This window comes from Homo sapiens, chromosome 14, assembly GCF_000001405.40.
Source record: "Homo sapiens chromosome 14, GRCh38.p14 Primary Assembly".
Taxonomy (NCBI): Eukaryota; Metazoa; Chordata; class Mammalia; order Primates; family Hominidae; genus Homo; species Homo sapiens.
The window spans coordinates 63,521,638-63,541,977 of record NC_000014.9 but is presented as its reverse complement, the minus strand read 5'-3'; the positions used below and the strand labels follow the sequence as shown (position 1 = coordinate 63,541,977).

General features: G+C 42.7%; 1 protein-coding gene across 7 annotated transcripts in view, besides 2 other annotated features; it reads left to right on the top strand.

Annotated features, from left to right (window-relative positions):
* The window catches only part of PPP2R5E (protein phosphatase 2 regulatory subunit B'epsilon), a 172,014-nt gene that overhangs the window by 1,400 nt on the left and 150,274 nt on the right, over window positions 1–20,340 (top strand). For 4 of the 7 annotated variants that reach the window (NR_104104.3, NM_001282180.3, NM_006246.5 and 1 more), the window contains exon 2: window positions 2,286–2,449. Coding sequence is in view for 6 of the 7 variants with exons in the window: in NM_001282180.3 (NP_001269109.1) it covers window positions 2,293–2,449 (157 nt within the window). In the remaining variant the exon portion in view is untranslated. Of the gene's footprint in view, window positions 1–2,284; window positions 2,450–20,340 lie in introns of those variants that run through there. The other 3 variants (XM_047431543.1, NM_001282179.3, XM_024449647.2) reach the window with 2 other exon arrangements.
* Window positions 17,008–17,057: an enhancer, noted in NCBI's record as "active region_8508". NCBI's record gives its function as "activates an Ori minimal core promoter by ATAC-STARR-seq in GM12878 lymphoblastoid cells {active_cell/tissue: GM12878}" and the evidence as "EXISTENCE:reporter gene assay evidence [ECO:0000049][PMID:35858748]".
* Window positions 17,118–17,267: an enhancer, noted in NCBI's record as "active region_8507". NCBI's record gives its function as "activates an Ori minimal core promoter by ATAC-STARR-seq in GM12878 lymphoblastoid cells {active_cell/tissue: GM12878}" and the evidence as "EXISTENCE:reporter gene assay evidence [ECO:0000049][PMID:35858748]".

Genomic DNA, 20,340 nt, shown 5'->3' with positions numbered 1-20,340 from the left:
CAAATAAGATGTGGAGCTTTTGGCTGATGCAGTCATTTTGATATTTTAAAGTGATCTTAACATCTATAGTCATTCATAGTTTGTGATTCTATTTTGAATCCATCACATTATATTAAGGCTAAATTAGGTAGATTTTTAAAAACTTTTTTTTTTTTAAAGAAAACCAAAGAAGACTTCCAAATTCCAAACGTCAACATCATATGTGTGCATGTGTTTTAAAATGTTTTTGTTATTTTTACATTGTCAAAATCCACGTAATCCAGGTAACTTTTTATTCTCACGTGTTCAGGAAGAAATTCCCTTACTGTTTTATTTAGAAGTTAAAAACCACTTGTCTTGTCTATTGGAATGACAGGTGAGTAATTGCATTTCAGCATTTCCCCCATATGCATTCTTTCTATCCGAGTCTGCCATTAGTCTTGCATGAAGCCTCAGTGCCATGGAAATGATGGCATCTGTTTAATTTGGTGAATGAAATTAAGCTTAACGCTTGTTACTTTCAGGAAATAGCCTTCATTTTAATAACTCGAGAGGGTTAAACAATTCAAAAGTGCTATTCAGTTCCGTAAGTTTGATGGAATGAAAATTGGTATTTGATGATGAACTTCAAGGTCTAAACCTCAAGGGAACTCAACTTGGTTGTTTCAGTAGGCTGTGAATTTATGTTTTCAGTTCAACTTTGGTGCTTGATTTTCTCATAGTTTTTATTAAGCGTTAATAACGTAAGGTGGCTTCATTCAAAAAGAAGACTTATTTGAAATATTTTAATTATGCCTTTTATGTGTTTTGTTTAAAGTAATCTAGCCTGTCCTCATTTGCAGTGTGGTATAGTTTATCATAGCTAACATAGCACATCCCATTAAAAGTTATGCCTAGATAGTTTCAGTAGTAGTAAATTTCACCTTGCTGTGATACATTGGTATAGATTCTTGAAGTACACTAAGGGTTTTTCAACTCCAGAACCCATTCATAATATTAAGTATCTTGGGAAAATGTATCAATGGAAGTTTTCCAGTTACAGAATAGCTCCAAAAATTACTTGAAGATGTGAAGAGCTTTGCAGTTAGAAAATGGGCAGGCAGCATAGATTTCTTTAAGCCTAGATGAGTATCTTTAATGCTTATAATGGAGTGGCACAATACATTAGAGTTCTCATATTGTTTCCGTGATACTTAAATTATTTTCACTAAATTTTCATGTTTTCCTGTTAACATATGACTTTTCTTTTCTTTGTTTGTTTCTTTTTTTTTTTTTTGAGAAGGAGTTTTCCTCTTGCTGCCCAGGCTGGAGTGCAATGGCATGATCTTGGCTCACCACAACTCCGCCTCCCGGGTTCAAGTGATTCTCCTGCCTCAGCCTCCCGAGTAGCTGGGATTACAGGCATGCGCCACCATGCCTGGCTAATTTTTGTATTTTTTTTTTTTTATTAGAGATGGGGTTTCTCCATGTTGGTCAGGCTGGTCTCGAACTCCCAACCTGAAGTTATCTGCCCGCCTTGGGATTACGGGTGTGTGCCACTGTGCCTGGCTTTTTTTTTTTTTTTTTTTGAGATGGACTCTTGCTCTGTTGCCCAGGCTGGAGTGCAGTGGTGCCATCTTGGCTCACCGCAACCTCCGCCTCCCAGGTTCAAGCGGTTCTCCCTTCTCAGCCTCTTGAGTAGCTGAGATTACAGGTGCATGCCACTGCGCCTGGCTAATTTTTGTATTTTTAGTAGACACAGGGTTTCACCATGTTGGCCAGGCTAGTCTCGAACTCCTGACCTCAAGTGATCCACCCACCTCGGCCTCCCAAAGTGCTGGGATTACAGGTGTGAGCCACCGGGCCCAGCCCTTTTTTTTTTTTTTTTTAAAGGACGGAATCTCACTCTGTCACTCAGGCTGGATGGAGTGCAATGGCGGGATCCTGGCCCACTGCAACCTCCACCTCCCAGGTTCAAGCGATTCTTTCACCTCAGCCTCCCGGGTAGCTGAGATTACAAGCACCTGCCATCATGCCCGGCTAATTTTTGTAATTTTGTAGAGACTGAATTTCACCATGTTGTCCAGGTTGGTCTTGAACTCCTGACCTCAAGTGATCCACCCATCTCAGCCTCCCAAAGTGCTGGGATTACAGGCGTGAGCCATTGCACCTGGCCAAGATAAGACTTTTCTTAACTGATTTTATTTTCTTTAGCACATATTCCCATTTTCATGAATATTGTATATGGGAATTTTAGAATTTGTATAACTCACATGTATGCTTCCACCTTGGGAATGTATGGGTTTATGATACTTCTTTCTCTTCAGTAGGGATATGTCCTCAGCACCAACTACTCCTCCATCAGTGGATAAAGTAGACGGATTTTCTCGGAAGTCCGTCAGAAAAGCCAGACAGAAGAGGTCGCAAAGTTCCTCACAGTTTAGGTCTCAAGGCAAGCCTATTGAGTTAACACCTCTGCCGCTGCTAAAAGGTAAGGCTCATGACCAGGTGATGCATTCTTTTTCAATTGATCTTTCTACATCTATATATAATTTCCTTTTTGTAGAGTTTTATATGTGTTGCAAATTGAAGGGATGGGATACTTCACATACATTGAAGTTACTAATGTGTGACCAAATATACCCACTCTCCTTTTTAAAGGCTCAATTTAGTCTGTCTTTGGGCAAGTTAAAAGAAACATTATCAGGAGAATATCTCACATTGATGAGTAGGTAAACTAAGTACTAGAGAAACTTTAAGATGTCTGGGTTTGTGTTTTTCATTTTTTCTTCTGTTGACGTTTAGGGATACATTATATACAATGACAACTACAGATTATGGTCTTAGGAAGTAGACCCTAGTAGAGGAGATGGTACCATTCATTAATTTACATATAGAAAATGGTATTTGGAAGAATTCGTTTTTAAAAATCAAGAAAAAAATGGTCCATTTATAGTTGTTTACATGCACTCTTGTTTTCACATAGTACAAGTAGAAAAGATATACCTTTCTATGTACAAGTATGATGATCATACTTGTTTAGTATGATCTTTTCTTTGAAATTTGTTAATTTTTTAATTTTAATTTTTATCTTTTGAGATAGAGTCTCCCTCTGTTGCTCAGGCTGGTTCACAGCAACCTCCACCTCCTGGGTTCAAGTGATTTTCCTGCCTCAGCTTCCCGAGTAGCTGGGAGCACAGGTGCCCGCCACCATGCCCAGCTAATTTTTGTATTTTTAATAGAGACAGGGTTTCACCATGTTGGTCAGGCTGGTCTTGAACTCCTGACCCCAAGTGATCTGCCCACCTTGACCTCCCAAAGTGCTGGGATTACAGGTGTGAGCCACCGTGCCTGGCCTGAAATTTGTTAAAAACAAGTTTTTTGGTTTTTTAAATTTTCTTTTGAGACAATCTCATGCTGTCACTCTGGCTAGAGTTCAGTGGGGACAGAGTGAAAGTGCAGGTTGAGGCCGGGCGTGGTGGCTCACGCCTGTAATCCCAGCACTTTGGGAGCCCGAGGCAGGCAGATCACGAGGTCAGGAGTTTGAGACCAGCCTGGCCAACATGGTGAAACCCTGTCTCTTCTAAAAATACAAAAATTAGGCGCGGTGGTGGCACCTGTAATCCCAGCTACTCGGGAAGCCGAGGCAGGAGAATTGCTTGAACCGGGAGGCAGAGGTTGAAGTGAGCCCAGATCGTGCCATTGCATTCTAGCCTGGGTGACAGAGCAAGACTCTGTCTCGGGGGAAAAAAAAAAAAGAAAGTGCAGGTTGGGGCTCACTGTGGCCTCTATTTCCTAGGCTCAAGTGATCCTCCCTTTCCCGAGTAGCCGGGATCAACTTCCCGAGTAGCTGGGACTACAGAAGCATGCCATCACGCCCAGCTAATTTTTCCATTTTTTTGTAGAGATGGAGTTTTGCCATGTTGCACAGGCTGGTCTCGAATTGCCATGGTGTTCCCATGCCAGGATTTAGGCGTGAGCCACCATGCCCGGCCCAACACGTTTTTAATATGAAGAATTTTTTCTAAATTAGGCATTTCAACTTTTGTTTGGGTATGTGGTTACTTTTTGTCCCTTTTAATTTTCATCATGTTTGCTTCATGTTTATGAACAGGTGTTGTTTGAAAAATATCAGAACATAGCTTTTATAGTGTGGAAACTATCAGAATTTACCTTTGAGGTGGATGTTTATGTGCTGAATACTGAAGAATGGGAGAAAGGGGATATGAACAACACAATGAGCTTTAGTGTGGCTTGGAGGAAACCAGGCAACCTGGTTTGCTAGTTCATTATTGCAGACTTATTTCTGTAACAGTTTGTGAAATCAGAAGGTATTATAAGAAAAACTGGAATGTAACCGGAAAAGATCCTCAAAATTTAGCTTAGGATATTTCAAGCTTCTATTTTTTCCATATGAATACTTTTTTTAAAAAAGAGAGAGAGATTCATAAATAAGATTCCAATGTTTATACAAAATTTTTGGAAACTGAATACTGATTACTGTAAAGATGATATATCTACCAGTCAGTAAAGATGAGCTCCTGTGAGCTTTGGGGGAGAAAATTTTGACTAGAGATTTTGCTGGTAAAAATGAAAATAGTCATTATGAGGCTTTGGAAAGAAAATGTAGGAAACACTGTAGATTGAACTATGCTTGAAATACAAAGTTGGGAGACACTGGTTTTTAGTAATCTATTTAATCTGAAGTAGATATGTAATGGGTGTTAACTTCTGTATCTGTAAAGGACTTCATTCTGAGGAAGCCAGTTAAATTTTTTTTTTTAGAATTAGAAGGAATTTAAAAACTTACACTAATTTCTTGGATCTTATGGTAAACAATTAAATTAGGACTTCACTGACCACTCATAGTCAGGGTATTGGTTTTGTGGGTAGTGAAAGAAGCATGCATGAGAAGAATTTGGACACATGCTTTAATGTATTTTTTCTTTAATGCTTTCATGTCTTTTTTCTCATTTTAAAAAATTATGGTAAAATATACATAACATGAAATTTACCATCTTAACCATGTTTAAATGTGCATTAAGTGCCTTGACATTGTCATGCAACTGTCCCTACCATCCATCTCCAGAACCTTTTCATCTTCCCCAACTGAAGCTCTGTACCTGTTAAACACTGACTCCCTGTTTCCCCCACCAGCCCTTGGCAACCGCCATTCTGTTTTTTGTTTCTATGAATTTGACTACTCTAGGTACCTCCTATAAGTGATGCCATGCAATATTTGTCTTTTTGTGACTGGCTTATTTCACTTAGTCAAGTGTCTTCAGTGTTCATCTCTGTTGTAGCAGGTGTCAGAATTTCATTCTTTTTTAAGGCTGAATAATTTCAGTGTATATACATACCATATACTTTTTAATCCATTAATTCATTGGTGGACACTTGGGTTGCTTCCACCTTCAGGCTATTGTGAATAATGCTGCTGTGACCATGATGTACAGATACCTGTTTAAGTTCTGGCTTTCATTTCTTTTGGGTATGTACCCAGACGTGTAATTGCTGGATCATATGTTGAATTTTTCAGGAATTGCCATACATATTGCCACAGCAACTGGACCATTTTTCATTCCCATTAGCAATGCATGAGGGTTCCAGTTTTCTATATCCTCACCATCACTCATTTTCTGCTTTTTAATTTTTTGATAGTAGTCATTATAATAGGTATGAAGTGGTATTTCAGTGTGATTTTTATTTGCATTGCCCTAATGATTAGTGATGTTGAGCATCTTTTCCTGTGCTTTTTGGCCATTTCTGTATCCTTTTTCTCACTTTTAAAAGTGAAGTCTGCTAGTGTTGCCAGTTTTCCAAGAACTCTGCTTTCCAAGAATGTGATTTTTTGAACTTGTATATTTTGCCAGTATGAGAGAATTGGAGAGTAACAGGACTATATACTCACAAACCTAATTCCAGAGTGACTAACAGTGATTGTTATGTAGTAAGCACATTCTGGGTAAATACTCTGGAAAGTATTCTATAAATTAGAAATCCATCTCTGTCTGTAGAATAACATAAGGAAGTATAATCAGAAATAGACTTCAGTAATGTGTATTTGCTCTTGATTTTCTAGGAAGTAATTTATGGAATATAAAGAAAATGTAGGAGGAATTTCTTTTCTAGGATTTTATTTTTTTTGGCCATTGCCTTAAGAGAAACCAGGATAAACACTATATGCATGCTAAGGGTAGTTATTGATTTAATTTTCTATAGTATTGCTTTGACTAAATTGGGTTAATTTTATTTGGAGTACAATATAAAATATGGTTGAATTTTGTGAGTTGTTTTAAATAATGAAGTCAAAGAGGTGTCCTTAAGGTCTTTAATTTCAGGGGAGTTTGAATACGATAATTATACAAACAGTGATTATGTAACTCATCTTTTAATATGTCATTTTTGAATGCTCAGATATGCATTAATAACCACTCGTTTTGTGCATGCATTATCAGAATGTTTATTATATGCATCATAATCTTTGATTTATAAATAATACTGCATTAATTCTTAGCGTTTTAAAGTCTGTTCACTTGCAAAACTGCAACATAATGTGAAGGGAAAGTTTTTGTTTTGCCCTATTTCTTTTTTTTTTGAGATGGAGTTTTGCTCTTGTTGCCCAGGCTGGAGTACAGTGGTGCGATCTCAGCTCACTGCAACCTCTGCCTCTTGGTTCAAGTGATTCTCTTGCCTCAGGCTCCTGAGTAGCTGGGATTGCAGGTGCCCACCACCACACCAAGCTAATTTTTTTGTATTTTTAGTAGAGACGTGTTGAGACCAGCCAGGCTGGTCTCAAACTCCTGACCTCAGGTGATCCACCTGCCTTGGCCTCCCAAAGTGCTGGGATTACAGGCGTCAGTCACTGCGCCCAGCCTATTTTGCCCTATGTCTAATAGGTGGGGTTTTGAAATCTGTATCACTGATGTTATTTCCTGTAGAAAGCAACACCACCTGTAATTCTGTATAAATCTACCTGGTTTTTCCGTATCTGTGTGTTAGGAAATTATAGGATGAACTTTGCAAAGATAGACATTTACATTTTCTCCATCTTTATATGCTTTTGTGAAAGTGTTCTTGGAGAGCCTTAACATTTTTGAGGCTGGGTATGGTGGCTCACACCTATAATCCCAGCACATAGGGAGACAGAGTTGGGAGGCTCGCTTAAGCCCAAGAGTTTGAGACCAGCCTACGCAACATAGTGAGACCTCATCTGTACAAATAATTTAAAAAATTAGCCAGGGTGGTGGTGTACACCTGTGGTCCCAGCTACTTGGGAGGCTGAGGCAGAAGGATTGCCCGAGCCCAGGAGGCTGAGGCTGCAGTGAGCTGTGATTGTTCCACTGTGTCCAGTGTGGCTGACAGAGTGAGACCTTTGTCTCAAAATAAAAACATTTTTTTCTTTGAGTCTAAAAGATTCTTACTCATTCACTGATAGGGAAAACCTAGTAGAGGTTTAGTGCCTTACTTACTTGATAAGAAAGTAAAATCTTGGGGGAGGCCGACAGGGGGCGGGTCATTTGAGGTCAAGAGTTTGAGACCAGCCTGGCCAACAGGGTAAAACCCCATCTCTGCTAAAAATCCAAAAATTCGTGGATGTAGTGGTGTGCATCTATAATCCCAGCTACTCAGGAGGCTGAGGCAGGAGAATCACTTGACCCCGGGAGGTGGAGGTTGCAGTGAGCTCATATTGTGCCACTATAAACTCTGTCTTAAAAAAAAAAAGAAAGTCAAGACTTGGATACTTTCCTTACACTTACACAGCAGGACATGAAGCAAGCCTTGACTGTTATCTAGGTAAGTTGTTGAGTAAGACAGTCAAACTAAACAGTTAGGCAAACACACAAACACACACACAAATTTATGTTAATAATAATCAGTGGTAGTAGCACCTGGCTGGGTGATTTATGTTCTCTCCTCACCCCAGCCTCCTGTGCCTCATTTCCTTGCGTTGACTTTAAGCAATTCTGTAAGTTTAGATTTGGGTGAACGTTTTCTGAAGAATACTGCCTCTTTGAAGATGGAATTATAGTGAAAGTAGCATTGTTATTTCTTTTGTTTGTTTGTTTTTCTGAGACAGAGTCTCGCTCTGTCACCCAGGCTGGAGTGCAGTGGCGCAATCTCGGCTCACTGCAACCTCTGCCTCCCAGGTTCAAGTGATTCTCCTGCCTCAGCCTGCGGAGAGTAGCTGGGATTACAGGTGTCTGCCACCACATCCGGCTGATTTTTATATTTTTAGTAGAGACGGGGTTTCTCCATGTTGGCCAGGCTGGTCTCGAACTCCTGACCACAGGTGCGTCCGCCTGCCTAGGCCTCCCAAAGTGCTGGGATTCTTGGCATGAGCCACCGCGCCCGGCCGCCATTGTTATTTCTTGTCTCACAATTCATTATACATTTCCGAGGCATTTTGCAGATAGTTTGTACATTCACTTTTAGATATTCTTACAACTATGATGACTAGACGGAGTTTAGCTCTTGTTGCCCAGGCTGGAGTGTAATGGTGCGATCTCGGCTCACCACAGCCTCTGCCTTCCGGGTTCAAGCCATTTTCCTGCCTCAGCCTCCCAAGTAGCTGGGATTACAGGCATGCGCCTCCATGCCCGGCTAATTTTGTATTTTTAGTAGAGATGGGGTTTCTCCATGTTGGTCAGGCTGGTCATGAACTCCTGACCTCAGGTGATCTGCCTGCCTCGGCTTCCCAAAGTGCTGGGATTACAGGCGTGAGCCACCGTGCCCGGCCGTTTTCGTGCCTTTTTAATGATTGCCTTTTTCGTCTATATCTGCTTTGTGTATAGTAAAGTAGGCACATGCAATATAATACCAGATTTTTATAACGAGTGAATGTGCTAAAACCTATTAGAATAAGAATAGTCTCTTAAGAGGCCAGGTACAGTAAATAACTCACACCTTTAATCCCAGCACTTTGGCAGGTCGAGGTGGGAGGATTACTTGAGCCCAGGAGTTCAAGGCCAGCCTGTGCAACATAGCAGGCCTGTCTCTAAAAAAAAATACAATAAAAAATTAGCTGGGTGTGGTGGTACACACCTGTAGTCCTAGGTACTTGGAAGGCTGAGGGAGGATAGTTCGAGCCCAGGAGATCGACGCTGCAGTGAGCTGTGATTGTGCCACTGCACTTGAGCCTGGGCAACAGAGTGAAATGCTGTCTCAAAAAAGAATAGTCTTTTAAGGAATAATGTCATCTATTTTAGTGGTTACTACACTCCATGTCGTGATACATTGTCGCATGGGTTTTGTTGGTCCTCAAGAGTCCTAGCTTACCACTAGCTGGGTTGCCTTGGACAAATGCGTTAACTGCTGAAAGCTTTGGTTTTCCTTGTCTGTAAAATGATGATGACGTTAATAGTCAATAGATGTGACAGTGCCACATTCAGTAAATACTAGCTGTTGTTATTTAATGGGGGTTTCAAAAGTTAGAATATGAATAATATGAAATTTTTATGACATATTTTACTAGTAAAAAGGTGGAAATTGGAAATTTCTCTGAAAATTATGAAGAGCATAATTTTGCAGCCACAAACGTTTTTCAACCAAAAATTTCAAAGAAGCAGTTTTTAAATATGGTGAATTTAATATAATAGCTATTCTAAACATCTTCACCTGGAGAGTTGCATCTACTGCATTAGTATCTTGCCATGTTATTTAGTGTAATGCTTTTTATTTTTAATTTATTCATTTTTTGAATAGATAATACAGCCATATGGTTCAAATTCCAAAGGTTACAAAAGGAAGTGTAGTGAAAAATCTTCCTTCCATCCCTTCTCCTAGTTTCCCTTCCCAGAAGCAACCAGTCATTATACTCTTGTATAGTAGGTATAGAGATTCTTAAATCCTTGGTTGGATTTAAAATGCAATGAGCAGCCTAAAATTATGTGAACATTTTGTATGTGTGTATCTATTTTAAAAATGGGGAATCAATAGGGATTTTTCAGATTCTCAAAGGGATATCTGACTTAAAACGGGTTAAGATCTATTGATCTAGTTTGTACCTTTGACTAATGATGTGTGTTCTTCAGGCATCTAAGATTTGTGTGTGTGTGTGTGTTTTGAGATGGAGGTTCGCTCTTGTTGCCCAGGCTGGAGTGCAGTGGCCCCATCTCGGCTCAGTGCAACCTCTGCCTCCCAGGTTCAAGCAATTCTCCTGCCTCAGCCTCCCAAGTAGCTGGGATTACAGGTGTGCGCCACCACACCCAGTTAATTTTGTATTTTTAATAGAGATGGGGTTTCACCATGTTGGTCAGGCTGGTCTTGAACTCTTGACCTCAAGTGACCCTCCCACTTTGGCCTCCCAAAGTGCTGGGATTACAGGCATGAGCCACCGCACCCGGCCGTGTGTGTGTGTGTTTAAAAAATAACCATAAGCTTTACTTTCGAACTGAAAGAACATCTATATGTTAATAGATGTTAAAGTTCAGTTTTAGAACCTTTGAAAAAGTGTGGTAATAATTTTTTTGGGGGGAAGCAATTTTAAGATCTTGCACAAAAGCAAGTGCCAAACTATGTTATTTTTTTTTTTCTTTTTAATTTTATTATTATTATACTTTAAGTTTTAGGGTACATGTGCACAACGTGCAGGTTTGTTACATATGTATACATCGCAAGGACAAAAAACCAAACACCGCATGTTCTCACTCATAGGTGGGAATTGAACAATGAGAACACATGGACACTGGAAGGGGAACATCATATACCAGGGACTGTTGTGGGGTCGGGGGGATGGGGGACGGATAGCATTAGGAGATATACCTAATGTTAAATGACGAGTTAATGGGTGCAGCACACCAACATGGCACATGTATACATATGTTATTTTTTTCTTTCTTTCTTTTTTTGTGATGGGAGTTTCGCTCTTGTTGCCCAGGCTGGAGCGCAATGGCGCTATCTTGGCTCTCTGCAACCTCCGCCTCCCGAGTTCAGGAAATTCTCCTGTATTTTTATTTATGAAAGATTGTACCCAGTTGTAATGAAGAGATAATTTCATTCACTTTTAGGAAGGAATATACATTTTTTAATATATCCTAATAGTTTGCTTCTGTAGCATAGGTAAAATTATTGTACAGAGTTTTATGTGGGCCAAAAGAAATTGGCCAGGCGCGGTGGCTCACACCTGTAATCCCAGCACTTTGGGAGGCTGAGGCGGGTGGATCACTTGAGGTCAGGAATTTGATACCAGCCAGGCCAACATGGTGAAACCCCATCTCTACTAAAAATACAAAAAAATTAGTCAGGCGTGGTGATGCGCACCTGTAATCCCAGCTACTTGGGAGACTGAGGAGAATCACTTGAACTGGGAGGCAGAGGTTGCATCACTGCACTCCAGCCTGGGTGACAGAGTGAGAGTGTCTCAAAAAAAAAAAAAAAAAAAAAAAAAGAAATTGAGAGTCAGTGTACCTGATATATTCATCACTTAAAAGTAGGATAGAAGCTTGCATTCATATTCATCCCATTAAGAACTAATTGCTTAATCCTGGCCAGGTGTTGTGACTTATGCCTGTAATCCTAGCACTTTGGGAGGCCAAGGCGGGCAGATCACCTGAGGTCAGAAGTTTGAGACCAGCCTGGCCAACATTGTGAAACCTCGTCTCTATTAAAAATACAAAAATTAGCCAGGCATGGTGGCACGCGCCTGTAGTCCCAGCTACTCGGGAGGCTGAGGCAGGAGAATCGCTTGAATCCGGGAGGCAGAGGTTGCAGTGAGCTGAGATCACACCATTGCACTTGAGCCTGGGCAACAAGAGCAAAACTCCGTCTCAAAAAAAAAAAAAAAAAAAAAAACGGAAAAATTTCTTAACTTAGGGTTCGTGGATTTCTGGTTGGGACAGTGTATATCTGGATGGGCTTCAGGGTTTCTAGACCCTCCTAAAATTATATGTAAAGTTTCTGTGTATGTGCATTCTTTTTTGGAGGAGAGAATTGATTGCTTTCATCAGATTCTCAAAGATTCATCCCTTCCATTCACGTTCTCTCTCTATAGTTAAGAGTTTTTGGCTTAGACTAAATGGGAATTGTGTTGTTACTATTTTCTGAGTATCGTGTTAGCTGCTCTGTGTGCACATATGCATCTACCCTTACCATAAAACACTGTAAGCCATAAACAGCATTCATCATAATGTGCGTCCGTCCAGGATGTAACCTGGATATTTATATGCAATATTTATATGCAAGACAGGGCATATAAATATTGAAGTGCCAAATGAATGTTCTCATAAGATGAAGTGGTCCTTTTCTACCTAGAATTTTCTTCCCCAACTTCTTATCATTCAAGTTTTAGCTCCAGTGGGACCTCCTTGGGGACTTCCTTGATGACTTTAGAAAACAGTCTTTCGGCTGGGCACAGTGGCTCACGCCTGTAATCCCAGCACTTTGGGAGGCTGAGGTTGGTGGATCATGAGGTCAGGAGATCGAGACCATCCTGGCTAACACGGTGAAAACCCGTGTCTACTAAAAATACAAGAAAAAAACAACAAAAAAAAACTAGCCGGGCGTGGTAGCAGGTGCCTGTAGTCCCAGCTACTCGGAAGGCTGAGGCAGGAGAATGGCGTGACCCTGGGAGGTGGTGCTTGCAGTGAGCCAAGATTGCGCCACTGCACTCCAGCCTGGGCGACAGAGTGAGACTCTGTCTCAAAAAAAAAAAAAAAAAGTCTTTGGGCTGGGTGCGGTGGCTCACGCCTGTAATCCCAGCACTTTGGGAGGCTGAGGTGGGCGGATCTATCTCAAAAAGAAAAGAAAAAAAAATAGTCTTTGGCTAGGCAAGGTGGCTCATGCCTGTAATCCCAGCACTTTGGGAGGACGCAGGAGGATCTCCTGAGGCCAGGTGTTCAAGATCAACCTGGGCAACATAGTGAGACCCCTGTTCCTACTAGAAAATTAAAAAATTAGCTGGAAATGGTAGCATGCACCTGTGTCTTGGCTACTTGGGAGGCCGAGACAGGAAGGAGGATTGCTTGCTCTAGGTGACAGCAAGACCCTTGTCTCTTGGAAAAAAAAGTGTTTGAAGTTTCTATTACTCTGTTGTTTCTTATAATCTTTAATTATTTTATCTTTGTTTGTTCACTTGTCTGATATATCTCCCCTCCCCCATTAAAATATGATCTTCTGTGTAGAAATCTTGTTTTTCTTATCTCTAGGGCTTCGAACAGTGCCTTGTACGTAATTGGCATTCAATAAATATTTCTTAGTAAATGAACGAACATTTTTATTTCACATTTAGGTTGACTTAGTTGACTAATAAGTAATAAAGGCATTTATTTTTCCTTCATAAATATTTAAACAGTTTATTTTTTTTTTGCAAAACCCAGGCCAATTTTAGTTTAAAAAAATAAAATTTTAATGCCAATTTTATTTTAACTTATAATTTACACAAAATATAAACTTGTTTAATGAAAACTTTTTATTTTAAAAGGATCACATTGCTGAGTGTTCAATTAAAATCCTGAGTGGGTTTGTGCTTTGGTAATTCTGCATGTTTCAGGTTAAAAACATAAGTGGTATATTATATAGAGAGAATGGAGTGGATTTTATAGACGAAAAACTTAGAGTGATTCCTTTTACTTTGCAAATTCATCACTTTCATTTCACAAAAGTTAAGACGTTAAGTCCAGTGAAATCCCTCTGTTCTGCGTATTTGAGGACTGATTATAGCCTAATCAGATCACCAGACTTTATATAGTTTAAGAGAGAATAGCATATCTGAATATTATAATGGACTTTCAGAGCAGAGTTTTATGGGCAAATGTTCTCTGATTTGTAAAACTTACATTTTATAATATTGGCTCATAATAGTAATTAGATTTTGTAGTGCTTGAAAAAGATCAGTAAAGTTTCTAGATATTTCGAATAGGCTAAAGTAGTTCTTTTGTTTGCAAGTGATGACATCCTCTTTTAATACTTAAAAATGGTTTCTACCTTTTGTATTTGAAGGTTTTTTTTTTGAAAACTTATATGGAATCTTATTTTTATGTTACAGTAGAATTAAGCATAGTTTCCCTCAGTAAGAATGTAGGCCCTGGGGTCACACATACCTGAGTTTGAATTCTGAGTCCACCATTAGAAGCCATTTGACTTTTTTTTTTTTTTTCTTACATTGTCGCCTGGGCTGGAGTGCAGTGACGCGATCTCTGCTCATTGCAACCTCCACCTCCCGGGTTCAAGCAATTCTTCTGCCTCAGCCTCCTGAGTAGCTGAGATTACAGGCACCCACCACCACGCCCAGCTAAGTTTTTGTATTTTTAGTATAGATGGGGTTTTGCCATGTTGGCCAGGCTGGTCTTGAACTCCTGACCGTGTGATTCGCCCGCCTTGGCCTCTCAAAGTGCTGGGATTACAGGCATTGAGCCACCACACCTGGCCAGGAGCTGACTTCTAAGCCTTGGTTTTCTTCTCTCTAAAACTGGGAGAGTAATAGAAGCCATATCATAGAGTCAGATTAAATTCCAGAAGGCAGGTAAAACATTTAGCCTAGTGCTAGATACACTGTATGAGTTGAAGAATATTAACTACTATAATTATAGGAAAAAGTACACAATGGCAAATGTTTACTAACGTCTTTTAGTTGATTTTTGTTCCTTTAACACGTTACATGGATTCTTTGCATTTAAGGAAGAAAAATATGGAGTATATACAGCTGTGAGAATTATACTTTTAAAGCAAAAAGGAGAAACTAGTTCTTATGGAACAATCTCAGCATTACTGTTTAGTTAATGTCAGTTTGAGACAGATTTCTTGTTTCTGGAATCAGAATTTAAAGTGGCTAATGTAATTATTTTCAAGGGAAATTCCATTTATGGAGCATTACCAGGTAAAATTATTATTAGATAAACTTTCTTTTTTTTTGAGACGGAGTTTCCCTCTTGTTGTCCAGGCTGGAGAGCAACGGCTTGATCTTGACTCACTGCAACCCCCACCTCCTGGGTTCAAGTGATTCTCCTGCCTCAGCCTCCCGAGTAGCTGGGATTACAGGCATGTGCCACCACAACTGACTAATTTTGTATTTTTAGTAGAAATGGGGTTTCACTGTGTTGGTCAGGCTGGTCTTGAGCTGCCAACCTCAGGTGATCCGCCCGCCTTGGCCTCCCAGAGTGCTGGGATTACAGGCGTGAGCCACTGTGCCCGGCCTAGGTAAACTTAATTTGGAAGTTGTTAGGCTGGGCGCAGTAGCTCACACCTGTAATCCTACCTAGCACTTTGGGAGGCTGAGGTGGGAGGATCGCTTGAGCCCAGGAGTTCAAGACCAGCCTGGGAAGCATGGCAAAACTCTGTCTCTACAAAAAATAGAAAAATTAGCCAGGTGTGGAGGCATGCTCCTGTCGTCCCAGCTACTCTGCAGGCCAAGGTGAGAGAATCACCTGATTCCGGGAGGTCAAGGCTGCAGCAGTGAGCCAAGATCATGCTGCTGCACTCCAGCTTGGGTGACAGAGTGAGACCCTGTCTCAAAAAGAAAAAGAGAAAGAGAGAAAGATTGAGAGAGAGAGAGAGAAAGAGAAAGAGAGACAGAGAGACAGAAAGAGAGAAAGTTGTTTCCCAGGACAGGATCTTCAAATGTTTTTGTAATTGCTTACTTCTATCAGAGAATATAACTTCAGCACTCTTGTATTTGTCCTGTTACACAACATTAAAACATATACAAACATAGAGATGTTTAAAAAGGATGATATTGAAAAATAAGATATAGAGTTCTAATACTTTCGTGCCTCCATTTCGCTTGCCCATTCCCCAGCACACACACTGGTCTGGAACACAGCTTTGTTTTGATATTTAGATTCAAAGAGAGAACTTTCTCTTTGGGTTTTGAGCCATGTTAGTTTTGCAGCATTTTATTTTGAACCAGCGAAGGACATGAAGAGGGCCAGGCATGGTGGCTCACTCCTGTAATCCCAGCACTTTGGGAGGCTGAGGCAGGCAGATCACTTGAAGTCAGGAGTTCGAGACCAGCCTGGCCAACATGGTGTAACCCCATCTCTACTAAAAATACAAAAAAAATTAGCCAGGTGTGGTGGTAGGTGCCTGTAATCTCAGCTACTTGGGAGGCTGAGGCAGGAGAATCTCTTGAACCCATGCGGCGGAGGTTGCAGTGAGCTGAGATTGCACCACTGCACTCCATCCTGGGTACAGAGCAAAACTCCATCTCAAAAAAAAGACAGGAAGAACTGAATGAGAAACTTCTTTCTTAGTGTACCTTCTTGAGGTCTTTGCATAGGCTTTTAAGTTTATTGCACCTTAAGGAAACAAAATCTGAATTGAGGATTTTACCAGTTTAAAGAGTATCACAGATGGCTCTTTGTTGATGGCTCTTATCTTGTGGTCAGTGGGTGAGTTTTAGAGGGCCCTTGACCCTCTTGAAATTCCAGGGAGTATTTTGTGTCTCTGTGCAGACTGACACTTTTCCGGACAAAGGTAGAGCTTTCATCAGATTCTCAAAGGAGTTTCTCCAAAGGCTAGGAACAGTTGCTTTGGGTGGTTGGCATGTTTTCTCACTCAGAGTGGAGACAGAATTTGTCATCTCTCTCTGTAGAAGGGAGCTCTCATGACTAGAGGTTTCTTCTCCTGTATGTCTTTCCTGATTTTTGATTCTTTTTGATACCAAATAGAATTTTAAAAGGTATTTGAAGGGAGAAGTTACTACATGACTGTAGTGTGTGGTTGGCTGGAAAATTTTGATCTGCATCATTTGAAAAATTAAGCTGGGTGAATAGGAATACCAGTGATAAAATTGAGTGTGCCTGTAAAGAAACATTTTTCTGGAATGGCTGTGGACCTGGGAGAATTTGGGAGGAGAAAGTCAGGTTGTTTCTGCTGGTAAAGAAATAGGTTAGCAATCAGTTAAGAAGAGATGTCTGTTGGTTTTTCGGTGTGCCAGGCAATGTACCACATGGCGTCTCATTTAAGCTGCACGCCCAATACCAAGAACAAGCGATGTTTGCTTTTAACTGAGGGCAAAGTAACTTGCCCACTCGTGCAGAGAGAGCCAGGGGTGGGACCCTAGGCCGGTCTGGCTCTAAAGCTGGTAACTTCCTTGTTGTGGCCGTTAGTCATAAATGTGTGCAGGTGAGAACAGCTAACCGCAATCTTGGTCATACTGTGCTGGGGTGATTTACTAAGACGTTTTTGCAAGTACTCTAAAAATTACGAGGAGACTGAAGGTGGTGAGAAAGCAAAGCAGAGAAGAGAAGAATGAGGGGAGCAGCCAGGCCTGCAGCAGCACTGTGGGTGGTGATGGGGAGAGGTGTGGCAGGCCGTGGGCTCTGGGCTCCTCAAGAAGGCTGGCCAGGCCGGGGAGCTGGGCACAAGACGTGTCCCTGGGCCCCTGTGCAACTCATGCTGTGTCCTGGTGAAGGCATGTCAGTCATGTCAGTCATGGAATAGTAAGGAACAGTTCAGTAAACTGGTAGCATTCTGGCTGTGGTGTCCTTGAACACTCATCCCTCCATCTTTGGGGAACTCACTTATTGTAGGAAAGGGTCTGGGTTCAAGTCTAGGTGATAATCTTAGCTTTATGAACTGAGGTGAGTTATTTAAACGTCTTTGGAACTTCAGTCTCCCTTTTGGTAAAACGAGATTCATGCTGCCCAAGGTGGTTGTGAAGAGTAAGTGAGGCATTGTGGGTAAACTGTCTGAATAGTGGTTGGCTGCTTAATAAATATGCGTTCCCTCATCTCTCTGTTTGCCATTTATCTTTCTTGAAGTCAGCCCTGTGGACCTGGATCTTGTTTCAGAATATGCAGTGTTGTGAGAGAAGCAATCTGGCAAAAGTTCATCCGTTATGTAGGCACCATGAAAGACTTTTGTCTCACAGTGACGTTAAATTTTAATTTAATTAATTCAGGGCTGCTTGTGCCTGGAACACTGTTCAAAGTAAAATGTTAAAACATTAAAAAGAACATGTAGCAAATTGAGACTTGGCACCATTTCAGGAAAAATACTGTCTTCTAATAAGGGAGATACAGACTTGAATTAACCTTTTACTGAAGTGCCCCCAGGAAACAATATCTGGCAATAGTAGGGCATACTCCTCCACCATATCTTATGAGGAAATATAGTGAGAATTCAGAGTAGGTTCAGGCTCCTAAGGGCTGTCTTCTACTAGCAGTGTAGGAATCACAGCTGTTGTGTGCCTTACACATTATAAGCACACAACACTGTTTTTGATTGAATGAGTACTTTGAATGCAAGAATATTTATAGCAAAGGTGAAGAGTTTTTTTGAGGGTAAGAAGGCTACTTTTGATCTTTATCTCATCAAATTAATTTTTTTTTTTTTTTTAGCGTGTAACCTTTGTTTTTTTTTTTAATTTATTTATTTTTGATCATTCTTGGGTGTTTCTCACAGAGGGGGATTTGGCAGGGTCACGGGACAATAGTGGAGGGAAGGTCAGCAGATAAACAAGTGAACAAAGGTCTCTGGTTTTCCTAGGCGGAGGACCCTGCGGCCTTCCGCAGTGTTTGTGTCCCTGGGTACTTGAGATTAGGGAGTGGTGATGACTCTTAACGAGCATGCTGCCTTCAAGCATCTGTTTAACAAAGCACATCTTGCACCGCCCTTAATCCATTTAACCTTGAGTGGACACAGCACATGTTTCAGAGAGCACAGGGTTGGGGGTAAGGTCACAGATCAACAGGATCCCAAGGCAGAAGAATTTTTCTTAGTACAGAACAAAATGAAAAGTCTCCCATGTCTACCTCCTACTACACAAACACGGCAACCATCCGATTTCTCACTCTTTTCCCCACCTCTCACCACTTTCTACTCCACAAAACCGCCATTGTCATCATGGCCCGTTCTCAATGAGCTGCCGGGCACACCTCCCAGATGGGGTGGTGGCCGGGCAGAGGGGCTCCTCACCTCCCAGTAGGGGCGGCCGGGCAGAGGCGCCCCCCACTTCCCGGAAGGGGCTGCTGGCCGGGCGGGGGGCTGACCCCCCCACCTCCCTCCCGGACGGGGCGGCTGGCCGGGCAGAGGGGCTCCTTACTTCCCAGTAGGGGCGGCCGGGCAGAGGCGCCCCTCACCTCCCGGACGGGGCGGCTGGCCGGGCAGGGGGCTGACCCCCCCACCTCCCTCCCGGACGGGGCGGCTGGCCGGGTAGAGGGCTGACCCCCCGACCTCCCTCCCGGACGGGGCGGCTGGCCGGGCGGGGGGCTGACCCCCCCCACCTCCCTCCTGGACGGGGCGGCTGGCCTGGCGGTGGGTGACCCCCACCTCCTTCCTGGACGGGGTGGCTGCCGGGCGGTGACGCTCCTCACTTCTCAGACGGGGCGGCTTCCGGGCGGAGGGGCTCCTCACTTCTCAGACGGGGCGGCCGGGCAGAGACGCTCCTCTCCTCCCAGACGGGGTCGCGGCCGGGCAGAGACGCTCCTCTCCTCCCAGACGGGGTCGCGGACGGGTAGAGGCGCTCCTCACATCCCAGACGGGGCGGCGGGGCAGAGGCGCTCCCCACATCTCAGACGATGGGCGGCCGGGCAGAGACGCTCCTCACTTCCTAGATGGGATGGCGGCCGGGAAGAGGCGTTTCTCACTTCCTAGATGGGATGGCGGCCGGGCAGAGACGCTCCTCACTTTCCAGACTGGGCAGCCAGGCAGAGGGGCTCCTCACGTCCCAGATGATGGGCGGCCAGGCAGAGACGCTCCTCACTTCCCAGACGGGGTGGCGGCCGGGCAGAGGCTGCAATCTCGGCACTTTGGGAGGCCAAGGCAGGCGGCTGGGAGGTGGAGGTTGTAGCGAGCCGAGATCACGCCACTGCACTCCAGCCTGGGCAACATTGAGCACTGAGTGAACCAGACTCCGTCTGCAATCCCGGCACCTCGGGAGGCCGAGGCTGGTGGATCACTCGCGGTTAGGAGCTGGAGACCAGCCCGGCCAACACAGCGAAACCCCGTCTCCACCAAAAAAATACGAAAACCAGTCAGGCGTGGCGGCGCGTGCCTGCAATCGCAGGCACTCGGCAAGCTGAGGCAGGAGAATCAGGCAGGGAGGTTGCAGTGAGCCGAGATGGCAGCAGTACAGTCCAGCTTCGGCTCGGTATCAGAGGGAGACCGTGGGGAGAGGGGGAGGGGGAGGGGGAGGGGGAGGGCAGCGTGTAACCTTTGTAACTTCACTTCAGCCTCTGGTTGCACAACCTCATCAAATTAATTTTTCAGGAAGATAGCCATGCATCAGAAGGAGTGGTGTTTTCCCCCAGTTTGTGAGCAAAAATCAAAAGGACTGGAAAGCAGATTGAAACAGGGGACTTTTTAAAGTAGAAGAAAGTTTCAGTATTCCCTGTTCTGTGAGGTGTTCTATACATCCATCTGCACTTGTCTCTCCAACTCCACCTACAACTGATACAACTAACTGGGCTCTTTTTTTTGAGACTGAGTCTTGCTCTATTCACC